Genomic DNA, 15,125 nt, shown 5'->3' on the forward strand with positions numbered 1-15,125 from the left:
TATATCATAATCATAAATATATGTACATATTTAACTTCACAGGAAAAAAAAGCTCAAGTTGAACACTTTGGCATTTGTATCACATTATCAATATTTCCCAGATATTGTTCTTCCCTCTCAATCAACTGAGAAAGTGTCATTCAGAGTTTAGGTCTGAACAAAATGTCTGGACTAAAATTTGACTTAATGGTGTCCAAGAGTCTCAAAGCAGTTTGCACTGAGTGAAGCAAAACAACACCTCCGGTCTCCAGGGTTTTTATACTCACAGGAGAGGCACTGAAGCACATAGTAAAATTTGTGATGAAGGTTCTCAGTTTCCAATTAACCCCGAAGACATCCCTTGTTTCATATAGCTCTACTTACATGTTTTTAGCCCAATCACAAAATAAACAATTTGCTTGTTATAAAACAACATTTCTCCTTTGTGGCTGGTAACAAGCTGCATCTGGGCAAGGCTGTTAATTGGCAATTTTAAAAACATGTGGGGCCAACAAGGTCTCCTAAGCAGTGATCAGCAGACATGATATATAATGGGAAAGGGAACATTGGGGATTAATAATAGAATGTGTCTATCTTATCATATTTTTAATGGGATGCATTTCAGAGAGTAAACAACATAAACATTCCATCTCCTTATTCACAAAAAGCACAAACTATGTTGTAATGCTCTGTACTTAATATGAAATAAGTTTTGGAATATATAGCATATGAAGTTATTTTAACCCCACTAAATACTTTGATATGAAACTACCCAAGGAACTTAAATTCATTAAGCTTATTGAATTTTTGAGTTTTCTTAGTTAAATGATATTTCAGATGCAGGGAAAACTAAATTTACAAGTGACTTCTTTTATTACAGAATTTCGACACCACGTTGGGTAGGGGCTCAATATTTGAGTTCCTAGTTACTAGCCAATAATCAACTGTAAAGAATACAGCTGATGCACTCTGGTTACACTCAAAAGCTTCATTCTTCCTAGTAAGGACTGATAACATTATGGGGAAGGAGCAGCAGAAAAAAGGAAAGCAGAACCCTTCCACCTCGTAAGGAGTCAGTGGTGACACGCAGGCTTAGCATTCCTCACACCAGAGTATGCCTGGGTTCAGCTGCTTGGTAGCACTGCTGCCAAAAATTTCACAGCCTGAACATGATAATGCCTAGAAAAGTCACAGGATAGGAAAGGTTATACGCCCATCTTTCAGAGCCATCCTGGCCTACCCAAGGTGTTTGAGTAGATTCTCCTTTCATAGAAAAATCTTGGGAGACAATTATAAAGGAGGAGCCATCTTCCCAACACCTGGCACTAGCCATTGCCTGAGGGGAAAATTTGGGATAAGGATGCATTTTTATTTACATTAAACATTTTGAAATTTAAAAAATTCATTTCAAATATGTGTAAGATTTTCACAATTGAGCCACATAAACTTCATTTTGTTCTAAAAATTTTTAATGGTAATTTCGAAGGTACATTATACACAAAGCATTTATTCATGCTAAAATATCTAAAGGAAAATAGATTCAAATCAGAGATCACTATTTTTACACTTATCTATTTCCTGTAGGTTTGTTGCTCTACAAGTGAAATTTTATGAAATCACATTTAATTTTCATATTTTAAAACTATGCATCACATTAACTTGCAGGACTACAATTTTGTATATTCAAGATTTAGAGAATAAACATCTTTACTGTATAAATTCAGCATACTGCTTTCTGCTGTCATTTTCTTCTTATCACCTAAATATTGAATATAATTATGTTTTAAGGTTAACAAAGTTGAAGTTGAAATTGAGCTATTTCAAACATAACTAAATTACTAATTAAGTCTACCCATGAAGTAACATTTGGCAGAGACTGTACTTGATAAAATATTCCAATAGTCTGCACTTTAGAAAATTACAAGAGAATTCATGGCTACCCTAGAGAATTCAACAATTTGTCTGCCTGTATGCATAGAATTCTATGGGAAGATCTTTAAGGATCCTTTTGAGCATCTGAATCTATAAAACCTCAGGAGTGGAAGCAAACCATGAATTTCTCACATCCATTGGGATCACATAGCACAGCCCATGTGTTAATTAATACATGCAATCTGGCCTTCTCATCACAATGAGGAAGTCTCTGAAAGAGCCAGCAGCTTTCAAAGCCTATTAATAAATTAACATTTGATGAGTTATATGAAGATGGTATGACGCTATATACACAAGGTATGATGTTAGGTGCCAGAGCACAGGAAAGATGGATACAGTTGTCATCCTGAAAAAGCACAGATAGTGGAAAAAGATTAATAAGTACCCCTTTCAGATTTGCTACAAGAAGCAAAGAGCTACACAAAAGATATCACATATATAAAACAAGCAAATTTTCTCTTTATACACATATGCATACAATATATGTGTATGATAGATCTCCAATCTATCGTAGGAGAAAATTGAAACTACAAAAATAAACAGCTACATGGATCACACACACATATATTTACATGTGCACAAACACACACGTGTGCAAAACACAACAAGAAGGCCATATGTTCCCAGTAGAAATATAAAGTTGCTTTTTCTTTATATTGCCATACTTTATAAATATTCAAAATTGGCTATTAGTCTATAATTGGAAAAATCATTATTAAAATATAAAATAATCTTAAATCTGGACTTTGAATTTTTTTCATATTTTTAAAAGTTCATCTGTCATTAAGGGATTAGAAAGCACATTTCTAGTCTAGCAATCAAATAAAAATGTGTAGCTAGTAGAATAGATCCTGCATTTTAGACATCATATTTAATCTATCATATTAACATGATAAAAGGAAAACAGAAGATAATGTTACAATTTGTATTCTGGTCTAAAGGCTTTCTGGGCTTCCAGACACTATGATAACGAATACTTTAAATGCATGAATGAACCAAAATTTAATGTAAAATCACAAGTGCTTCTATCACAAATACGACCAGCTGTGTTTAGAATTTATGTCTTGATATTTTCAAAAACCAACAAATTTAAATGGACTATAGGAACTAATCACTTCCACAACCCATTTCCTGTGGCCAGTGACAAAGAAACATTCGCAAATAAAGCCAGTTTTATTTACTCTTATTGTCTTATTCAACAAACCTTTAAAAATATTTGTTAATTGCCAGTCACTATGTTGAACATTGGGTATTCAAAAAGTAACACTTCAAGAGACACTTTGCATAAGTTATCCAAATGGCCAACGAGCAAATGAATAGGTGTTCGGCATCATTCCTCATCAGATAAATACAAATTAAAACCACAGTCCATATCTATCCAAATGGCTAAAATAAGATTGGCCATACCAAGAACTGGTGCAGCTGTGGAGCAACTGCAACACTCATTAATGGTGAGAGGGAGAGTAGAATGCAACAACCTTGGAAAACTATTAAACTTTTTTTCTTTTCTTTTCTTTTTTTAATTGAGACAGGGTCTTGCTATGTTGACTAGTATGGTCTTGAACTTCTGGCCTCAAGCAATCCTCCTGCCTCGGCCTCCCAAAGTATTGTGATTACAGGTGTGAACCACCATGCCCAGCCAGCAGTTTATAATAACATAAAAACTGTGCACACTTATGACCCAGCAACTTCACTTCTAGGTATATACCCAAGAGAAATGAATGTATGTGTCCACAGAAAGACACATATAAGACTGTTCCATTTACATGAAGTTCACAGGCAAAATTAATCTACACAATAGAAGTTAGAACAGTGGTTACCTGGGGCGAGGCTGAGGCATTACTGACTGCGAATAAGCAGGAGGGAATGTTCTGAGATGACTGAAATGTTCAATATCTTCCTTTAGGTAGTGGTTACAATGGGTATATACATAAGTAGGAAGTAACTGAGCTGTACACTTATAGTTTATGTATTTTTCTGAGTGATAATTATACCTCAATTTTTTAAAAATAACATGGTTAGGTCCCTACCTTCAAGAAGTTATAATACGAGTGAATTAACAGCCATACAATGTGATATGCACAATGATATGCTTAGTGAACAGTGTCCATGAAGCTCAGAGGAGGAAACAATTCCGTCTGGAGAAGGCTCAAAGGTACCGCAAGCAAATGTGGAATTGGTGTTTAATTATGACCTTTATGCCAGGAAAGTATCTCAAGAATATCACCATTTTCCTATTCCCTGGTATATTGGAATCATTTTTAAAAATCTAACTGAATATTAATTCTAAGCAGCCCACCATTGGCATTGTAGGCATTATTGCTATATATTTAATCTTCACTCACTATGTCCTGTCACACAGTCCAATTTACTCCAACATATGCCTATCAGGTTCTTAGCACCCCTGATGTTGGGGTGATGGGACAGGCACAGACAGAAGTAAAACAAAATTCTGGCCTGCAAGGAATTTGTAATTTTTCAAAATACCTCTAATATCCATCTTTTCTCCATTTCTACTGACACCATCTAAGACCAGTTCTTGTTCCTGCAACAACTGAACGAGTCGAAATAAATTACTACCCCATCTTCCTGCTTTCCAGCACTTTCACAGCCCCAATTATCCCATGCATACTATTCTCATCAATTATTTTTGATGTTCAGAATGGCTCGGGAGCTTCCTGGGGCCTAATGCATCAATTGTAAACTCTTCAGCATGGCTTATCAAGTCTTGCACAATTTGGTTCCCCCAGTACTGCTCCAGAAAGAGTAACGTCTACTAAGTGGCAGTGACACTGTAAAGACACATGAGAGAAAAACAATTCTTAGCTTACATGTGCTTTGAACTTTTTCATTTTTAATGGAACACCTTCAATTTATTATTTAAAATGTGTTATATTAATTGTAGTATGATACAGGCTGGATTCTGTCTATGTGGATCTGTTATGGTCTGAAGTGTTCATTTATTCATTCAAAAATCATTTACTGAGCCGGGCGCCGTGGCTCACGCCTGTAATCCCAGCACTTTGGGAGGTCAAGGCAGGCAGATCACAAGGTCAGGGGTTCGAGACCAACCTGGCCAATATGGTGAAACCCCATCTCTACTAAAAAGTACAAAAATTAGCTGGGTGTGGTGGCGGGCTCCTGTAATCCCAGCTACTCAGGAGGATGAGGCAGGAGAATCGCTTGAATCCAGGAGGCGGAGGTTGCAGTGAGTTGAGATGGCACCACTGCACTCCAGCCTGGGTGACACAGCAAGACTCCAACTCAAATAAATAAATAAATATCATTTACTGATCAATTTCTCTGTGTTCTATATTAATGAAATACAGAAATATAAAAGACCAATCTACTGTCAAAGAGGGAAACACCAAGATCAAAAACATATACATAGAGTTTTTCCTTTTTTTACGCTGCATAAAATCCTTCTTCCCTCCAGGGGTACCCACAATAGCACTCCCTGGGGCAGCTGTAATTTCCAAAAAGAGATACATGGAGTGGGATGCTGAAAAGTGTCCTGAAACACATGCCCTTGCATTATAAAATGTTAAGAGAAAAAATAAGGCAAAAACTTGAGTCAGTCTGGTGCTTTCCTCTGTAGGGCCTATGAGGATACATGTTTCTTCCCTCATTGAGTCAGATTTTATGATCATAGTGTCCTCAGATACAAGATTCAAATCATTTTCAAGAGCCTAACATCATTATTTTAAAACAAGGCACTGCCATTTTAAGCAAAACAGATTATGTAAATGTCAGTATATTTTAAAACAATCGAATTTCTCTTTAGCTAGGAACCATTCATTCTGTAAGAGTCTTTTTTCAGCATCTAAGGTTGGTATTGTTGTATACTAGAGAAGCCAAAATTCAGTGACCAGTTTTACTTTTCTGCCAAAAAGCCTGATTATTTTTAAACATTCCTGATAGACATTTTGCATCTCTTTTTCTACTCTGAATTTGAGTCGCAGCCTTCTGGCAATATGATGTTTTCAAGCACAGATTCGATATGTATAAGCCATCCGTTTTTCTGAAGATTTATAATCGGTAATTTTAGAAGGATTCCGGCCTTTATCACATCTTAGTTTAATGAAACATCTATGCTAGTATTTTCTAAAGTTCTTTTGGAAACAAAATCTCCTGAAAGAGTTCCAGCCTGTGAAAGTGAAAAACTCATTTAAATAATCAGTTCCGAACAACATTTCTGTTTATGTTAAGAATGCTGCTCTGATATTTAAAGTGGTTTAAGAAATCCAACCAGTGAATATAAAATTAAGCATAATTTTCTCTCCTCTAAGAGAGCACGGAAGCTCCAGAGAAACTGGCAACTCAGAAGATGTGTGGCACCGTGCCCGCTCCAAGGAGTAATGCTGAATGCTTTTGCATTCAGGTTTTGCAAAAACTTCATGCACTTCAGAACCCATGCTTACTAACTGAATTTTCAAGCTTCTCTTTTCCCCTTTCTTGTGGAAGCCCAACTTCCTGTGCCATCATTGAGCATACTGAGGCTCCCTGATCTTTCTCAAAATTCTACTAATAAGCCAAATGTACAATTTCAAACAAAGAAAGCCATTTTCTGGTCCCAAGGCTAGAGCTTTGAAAGTGTGGAAAGTTCAAAAGCTTAAGTTTTTTATTTGACTCCTTTTGGCTCAAATGTTGAATGGTCATTTAATTATTTTTTAAAAATGTATCCTGTTATTTCACGGGGTAAAAAGGGAACTTCATGAGACTCAGGAAGACAATACCCAAGCAAATGCCTGGGCATTAAAGATTGGATACAGAGAAGGATCTTTCAAAACACCTAGGAGAGCTCTTAATTTACTGATGCTCTGGTTTCACTCACCAAGGTACCATTATCTGTGTCTCAAAGGAAGTGCAGGTTAGAGAGCATGTGGGCCCAGGCCTCTTTGATACAGGGATCACCTTCTGTGGGTTGCTCTCCTTCCAGGCTAAAACCCATCATCTTCGAGGGTTGGAGGGTGTGGGCCGTGGTGGATCCTGCGGGGTCAGCTCCTAGGTTAAAATGTAGGCCCACTTTGGGGGATCCAACCTCATCTTTATGGCAGGTTTTCTTACCGTGGAGTAGGAGGTCTCATACCAGCAAGGACAGAAGTTTTGCCTGTTTCTTTCACAGAGGAGTCTAGTAGGGTAACATCAATCTTTTTCAGCTGTTATTCCACATTTTTTAAAACCACAGTCATCTTTTTGCCTTACATCTTTTTGCTTCACCCACATTTGTTGAAAAACTTTAATGGGTGGCCAGTACAGCTATAAATTACTCTGACTCTTAATTCCATTTTCTTCATAAAATTCAACACTGACTCATTATGGTTTGAAATGTTTATTCAGGATTAGTGAGAAATTACAGCTGGTTAGACAGCCAGAGGGCCTTTTTCATTACAATGAGAAATAAACATTGAATTCTGAGAGTAACAAGCCATGTACTGCCTTGAAACAAGCATGGCATGAATCTGATTTCAGCAAACTCTGAAGCCCTTATTCAGGTTAAAGTGAACCAAAAATGTAGCAGCTCAGGGCTGTGTGCAATTTTAGATTGAGTGTCCTCATTATAGGGTAAAAATAGAAATATCTAGGTAATATTACTGTGTTGTTCTGAGGTAAAGCAAGGAAATGAGCCTCTGTGACTTCAGTTTCTTCTGGAATCCTTCTGAGAATAAGATGTTTATTAAGCTAAGTATACAACATGATGAATGAGGAAGGATAAATGATCGGCTAAATTGTATACTACATTGAAAAAAATAAACACGAAGTTGGAATTTTGAAAAAGGAAAATTAGATTGCTGGGAAAGAGAGGAGTTTGAGTCCTGGAGGAGGAAAATAGCTTAATCTCCTTTCTCCATCCTCTCTGACATATCAGTGAAAGTAAATCAAGACTGCTGCAGATATGTGCATTACTTTAAAACCTTTTTAGCTGTATCTTCATCCCTGGCTTACCCAGCCTCAAAACTATCATTTTCCTCTTTTATTTTTAGAATAAGTAAAAGTATTAATATATGCAAATAGGATTCTTGAAAATCCAAGGAAAAATTCAAACTGCCTTCCTCAAATTCTTGACAACGTTTTATGTCTTCCTTTTCAAAAAGAAACCTACCTTCCTTCTCTCTCTGACAATGAGGAAGGACCATTGTCAGAAGATAAAGGATAAACTTTTGCTGCTCCACCTTCACCTTTTGACCAAAGATGTTTTTAATACTGTTGTGTCCAATTGCTTTGTCTCATTCTTTGATGTTTCAAGTAGGCCAGAACAAAATCTAGACCAGCCCCTCCCAGCTTCCTTCCAAATCCTAAATTAATATAGCAGGGAGTGTGGGGGAGGCTATTTTTCATTTTTCATACCCATAATTGTTTGAAGGGGCACTGTATGGCCTCCAAGTTCTGACTGATAGGGTGTCTGTTTAAAAAGACATTCTATCAGACTGGGTACAGTGGCTTACGCCTGTAATCTCAGCACTTTGGGAGGCCAAGGCAGGTGGATCACCTGAGGTCAGGAGTTCACGACCAGCCTGGCCAACATGGTAAAACCCTGTCTCTACTAAAAGTACAAAAATTATTCGGGTGTGGTGGCAGGAGCCTGTAATCCCAGCTACTCAGGAGGCAGAGCCAGGAGAATTGCTTGAACACGGGAGGCAGAGGTTGCAGTGACCTAAGACCCTACCATTGTACTCCAGCCTGGGCAACAACAGCAAAACACCATCTCAAAAAAAAAAAAAAAAAAAAAAGACATTCTATCACAATCAGCTGGGAAGGAGAGAGTTCAGGAAAGCCCCTATATGACGTCTGGCCACTCAAATCCCTCTCACTCAAAACTGTTAGGTATGGGGTTGGGGGTAACATGTACATTTTCTAGAATCTCAGGTCTCTCTATGAGACCAAACCAATAGGATTAGTTAATTCTGCTTGAAGTCAAAGTCAGTAGAAACAATATTTGAACTGACATAAAGAATAAGAAGGGTTAAATATGGTTAGATATTTACTCGTGTTTTAATTATTATTGTTAAAACCAGATGTGTAAGTGATAGAACTGGAGAAATAATTTTGAAAACTTTAAGTGCTGTTAACAAAGAGTAGAATAGAGGTAATGTACCAGTATTGCCTCTGGGATGGGACTATAGATGCAAGTCAGGAGGTTTAAGTGATGGCAGAGGCTAGTTAGATGGAAGAAAACAAGCACGGATGTCATATTCCTTTTCTTATGTTTTGAGGATTCTTGGGTGTATTTGCTGTGTATGGAACATATACCAGCATCATAGATACAGGTGACATGATAGCCAAGACCATTTAATGAGAGTGGACCTTCTAGAGCCTACTACTTCCCTCTCCTTAAAGCAAAACCTCCATTGAACCATACATGCTCAGCCTCCTCTCCTTTGCTATCACCATAACAACCAACATGCCATGAGAAATATAATAAGATGTTGTCCAGAGAAGCGAGGGCTTTCAGTGCCTGTCTTTAGGAGCCTCCTTTAGGGGCTGACCTTCTTTCTCTGAGCCAATGAAATGCCTAAATTATGAAGGTCTAATTAATCAGCATTTGAAAGCCTCCATCAGCATCCCATCACCCAGGATACCTCACAGAACCATGAGTGTGCACCTCAAGGGCTCACCAAAGATGAGGCAAATAGCAAGACTGCATAAGAGTCTGGAAATGGAAAGATACTCTCCAGCAGTACTAGATAGTCTAGGTGTTTGAAGCCTGTGAAAGTAATCAAATGCACAATCCTTTGTAGGGAGCAGAATTATGTGGGATGAAAGAATGCAAGGCACACCACTGACCCAGATTTGGGTAAAATAACTGGTCATTCCCACATTCTCTGTCTCATCTCTATGCATTGGCACATACGTCCCCTCTATACTAAAGTTTCCTCCACAGTGAATTCCTATTTCTCCTTTTATGCTATACCCAATGACCACTTCCCCTGTAAGAGTCACTGTGATATATCATATCCCTTTGAAATTTATGTCTCTGGGAATCTTTGCTGTATGCATTGGTTATATTCATTCCCGGTCTCGAAGTTAAAAAGAGTCTCCCTTGCTAGTGAGAATTACAAGTAGAATACAGGTGTAGTGATGGTGAGGCAGCCCCCACCTCCTACCGTGGTCAAGATGAGGACTTTGGAGAGGAATCACATCTGGGATAGCCCCTCCCCCACTGACTTCTAATACAGCCTGGGGTCAAGTAAGTACTCAGCACTCTAATATTGTTTCCTCATCTGTAAGGTGGAGATAATAGAAGAAACCACCATATAGAATAATTTTGAGGATAAAATGAAATAAGGAAAGGAAAGTACTTAGCATGATGTCAGGCAAATAACAAACACTGTAAATATGTACCATGGTAATATTATTATCATTATAAACACAATGGTTCATATATTGATACTATCCTACAAAGGAATAAAAGGTTTTGCTTCTGGGTTTCCTATAGATTATTAGTTTCGTTAAAAATTTGCCATCGCTGAAGTAAAATTTGTCATAATTGATTTGAAATCTCTCAAATCAAGCTAGCAAAAGGAAAAACTGTACGAATGACAAGTTTCTGAGCTATAGCATACTTTTAAAGGCATGCAGTTTTATCCATTGTAAATTCACAGGACAAACTAGGATATATAAACTGGACTTTCTAAATAGAAGTCCAGTTGAGGAAATAATACATAATCATGGCATTTGTAATTAGCATAATTTCCTCAAATACATTGCAATATACTAAATTCTTTAACTTGTTGTGGAGGATAAATTGCTCTTAAAAACTCAAAACAATTTGAGTTTTTAAACTCAAAATAACTGCTTTCTTTGAGATCACTTTTTAAAATGATCTGCTTCTGTCCAGTACAAGCAAAAAAAAATTCCAAGTGATGGAGTCTGACTATATTATACTATGTATCAAGCTAAATCATTATGAATTAATCTTCTCTCCAATGTCTTATATCTCATAGTATCTCTCATGATCTATTATCACAAGTCAAGTTTGACATTTCTTTTAAATTAAAATTTTATGTTACAGAATTCTGCTCTTTCTAATTAATTAAATTCTTACAAGGTAAAATCACTTTATTTTATACTAATAAAGCATACTATAGTTTCTGAAAAAAATTCAAAATTGTAATACAAGTTTACAAACTGGGGGGCATAAGAGAGGATTTAAGTTTACAAAGCCATGAAGACAATAATAGCTAGAGAAGATAATTCTAGAGATCCAGAAATCAATTCTTTATCATTATCACAATTACGGTAGGGCAATTTCATTGTTATTATAATGTGGGTTGTGTTTTATTCTGAAGACCATGAAGTTCATACACTTATTTCTGGTTAGTTTGACATATCGTCACGGCTATATAAATAGTGGGTGACCTTTGTTGGTGGGAGAATGAACTTGAGAATGTTTAAATAACTTTCCAGTAGTGGGGAAGCTGATAACTGAACACAGATGTGCCTTGCTAACATGCTCTAAAACTGCTAATTCACTTATGTAAAATTACTATAAATATTAAATATGAGTTGCAAATATATTCAAAGCACCAGAACACAATTAGAACTCTTAAACCAAAAACTATACCTACTATTGATTTTATTTCTGATGACAAGAAAGAAACTCTGAAGTCATCCAGCATCTCCAGATCATCTTCAGGAAATTAAGGTGTTATTACAGGGTAGGTGAAACACTGCATGGTGGATCAGGGAACAGGATGCTGCGTTCTAGACTCTGCTTTTAACTGTTTGAATTTAGACACCAGACCTGACCCTGCAAAATGAGGGAACTAGACTCAATTTTGATTAAGATATCATCCAGTGCTATACAATGCTTCAATGAGCAGATGTCCCAATTATCATTAACAGAAATATTCAGTCTCAATTGCAGCATAAACTAGCCTGAACTTTATGCTATGCAAAATGCACCAAGATCAACTTGTGCCCTTAAATAAACATATGCAGCTAAAATCTGACACAAGTTGGTGTTATGGGCTGAACTGTGTCCCCAACTCCTCAAATTCATATGTTGAAATCTGAAACTCTAATTCCTCAGAATGTGCCTATATTTGGGGATAGGGCCTTTAAAGAGGTACTTAAGGTTAAGTGAGGTCGTTAGGGTGGGCTTTAATCCAATATGACTGGTGTTCTTATAAAAAGAGAAGATTAGCATATAAGCAGGTACAGAGGAAAGACCATGTAAGACACAGGGAGAAAAAAATGGTCATCTACAAACAAAGGAGAGAGGCCTCAGAAGAAACCAACCCTGCCAACTCCTTGATCTCAAACTTTCAGCCTCCAGAGCTGTGAGGAAATAAATTGCTGTTGTTTGTTTAATTTACCCAGTCTGTGATATTTTATTCTGCAGCCCGAGCAAGCTAATGCAGTTGGCTCTTCTATAGCAGCTATATAGCCAAAGGATTCCAATGCACATAAATATAAATAGTAGGTATAGAAAGAACATTAGGTGTCTAATAAAATGTGAAGCTCTGAGATTCTGCTAGAGGTCACACCTTCTCTGTAAACATTAAAGAGGGCTCTTTGAGGATAACAGACTCTGCACAAAAGCCCCACAGTGAGCATCAAGGTGGAGTGCCAGCCTCCACTGTACCAGCCACAGCAGTGCTCTGCAAAGAGAAAATCAAAATGCTAACAATATCTACCAGCATAGGAAAATCAAAACCACACAAAGGATGAATACTTAAATAGCCTCTCAAGAACTGGAGTGTATTCACAGGGAGTGGAAGACCTTCCACATGCATAGTCACCAAATACACCAGCCACACAAAGGGACTAGGATTGCTGGGAACCTGAATTCTTTGGTGAAGTAATTACTTTTGTATTCTTTTTCCCCTTAAATGGCAGCTGCAGCTCCATTCATTTTTCTTGGGACAGTACCATTAATTCAGGCAAATAAGTCATGCTCAACAGGGGTTTCATCTCTCACACCTTTGATTCCCCATTGCATTGTGTTTATACTTACAGCACTTACTAAATTTTGCCCTGTAATGGGGTAATCTGCACACTTCTCTTGTCCCAACTAGCAAGCGAGGGACTATTTTTATTCTTTATCATAACTCTTACATAGCTCAGAGCCTTGCACCAAATTAACACTCAGTAATATTCACTAGCTAGAATTGAACTAAACTGCCATTCAATAAATCTCTGAAGTATTATTCTGCATTTTAGGTCATAGGTAAATACATATCTCGGTAGGAAACTTAGGAAAGCTGGAGTTCACACTGAGAAAGTCGTGAGAGATGAGTTTGGAGAGATTAAGTAGGCACGGAGTTCCTTACAACTTAAGGAACTTGGATTTTATCCTAAGATGATAGAATGAATTTATCACAAAGGAGCAGCATTTTCATATTTGTGTTTTTGGAAAAATTAGCCTGAGTGCTAGTTGAAAACTGAATTATAGAGAGTCATTACTGAAGCAGGAAGCTGGTGGCAGGGGCGAATTACAGAACAGTCATTGTGTCTGAGTTTTGCAGTCTTTGTAATTGGGAGATTAGTGGGATCACTGTCCAAACAACCAAAGGATGCACAATAGGGCAAGATATGAAGGTAAAAATGGTGAATTTAATTTTTTAATTTTTTTCTTTTTTATTAAAGTATTAAACACAATATACTAATGTATGTAAAATGCTTTATTCTGAAATGTACAGCTTGATGTATTTGTACATTTGCATATACTAACGCAATGGCTACCAAGATCAAGATTGAGAACACTTCCAGAGCTTCTCATGCCCTTTCCTAAGCAATAACTTATTAACCACAAAAAATAGTAATTTTATAGTGAAAATCTGACAGATACCACCTTAGCCAAGCTATCAAAGTTAACATCATCAAAATGAGACAAATTGACATCATGTATTTCCTGATACGATGCACTGCAAAGGGCAAAGATGGCCACAAGTTCTTTGACACTTTTCCCATACTGCGGTTTATGTTCCCTACACTTGAATCAAGGCAGACTTTGTGACTACTCTGACAAATAGAATAAAGAAGTGATGCTTTGCCAGTGTCTAAGCCCAGGCCTAAAGAAGCTGACAGGCCAGGCACAGTGGCTCATGCCTATAATCCCAGCACTTTGGGAGGCCGAGGTAGGTGGATCACCTGAGGTCAGGAGTTTGAGACCAGCCTGGCCAACCTGGTGAAACCCTGTCTTTACTAAAAATATGAAAAATTAGCCAGGTGTGGTGGCCGGCACCTGTAATCCCAGCTACTTGGGAGGCTGAGACAGGAGAATCACTTGAACCTGGAAGGCAGAGGTTGCAGTGAGCCGAGATTGCATCATTGCACTCCAGCCTGGGCAACAAGAGCGAAACTCCATCTCAAAGGAAAAAAAAAAAAAAAAGCAGCAGCAGCAGCAGCTGACCTGACAGTTTCACTTTCTTTGTTCTGTAATGTTTGTTTTTGAACCCAGCCAATCACTATGCTATAAGAAGCCCATGCCACATGAACAGGCTGCCTATAGATGCTCCAGTCTATAGCCTTAGCTGAACTCTCAGCCAACAAACATTATCAAATGCTGCCATAAGAGTAGGCTATCTTGAATGTCCCGCCCAGGTGAGCCTTCAGACGACAACAGCCCCAGCTGCAACTACATGAGAGATCCCAAGGGAAAACCATCTAGCTGAGCTTCAATGGTTCTTCAATCTGCAGAATCATGAGAGATAATAATGAATTGTTTTAAGCTGCTAGGTTTTGAGATGGTTTGTTATGGAGAAATAGATAACTGAATAGCAGCTAACAGTATAAAACTTAAGCTCCATGAGACTTGGAACTTTGTTATCTTCCATGCAGTATCCCCAGCCTCTAGATAAGTGCCTGGCACATAATGGGCATATCAATAAATATTTGTGATGAATGAACAACTGGTAATATTATTGATTTGAGAAAAGAATTTGAAAAGCCACTTATCTTTTAAACAGCTATTAAGCAAAGTTGAAATGTTTGCCTTCTTTTTGCTTAATAACTTGTGCAAGCAGAGAAAGTTTTAAAAAATGCTATTAATCTTAAATCTATATTCAGAAGTAGATTGCACATTTGACCTACCTAGAAATGGGTCTCTGAAAAAAATAGAATGTGGTAACCTAAATATTTAAAGGCTTTATTAAGAATGTTGTTTCGAGGCTTTACAATCTCTTAAATTGGGTCTTTAAAAAATATTGTCTTACCTTTTATTATTCCTCCAGAAATATCAGGGTTGGTGATGAAAGAAAAAGATGCAA

At 37.3% G+C, this 15,125-nt stretch overlaps 1 annotated feature.

Annotated features, from left to right (window-relative positions):
* Positions 14,156–14,255: an enhancer, noted in NCBI's record as "active region_24845". NCBI's record gives its function as "activates an Ori minimal core promoter by ATAC-STARR-seq in GM12878 lymphoblastoid cells {active_cell/tissue: GM12878}" and the evidence as "EXISTENCE:reporter gene assay evidence [ECO:0000049][PMID:35858748]".

The sequence above is a fragment of the Homo sapiens genome, chromosome 6 (genome assembly GCF_000001405.40).
Source record: "Homo sapiens chromosome 6, GRCh38.p14 Primary Assembly".
Lineage (NCBI taxonomy): Eukaryota > Metazoa > Chordata > Mammalia > Primates > Hominidae > Homo > Homo sapiens.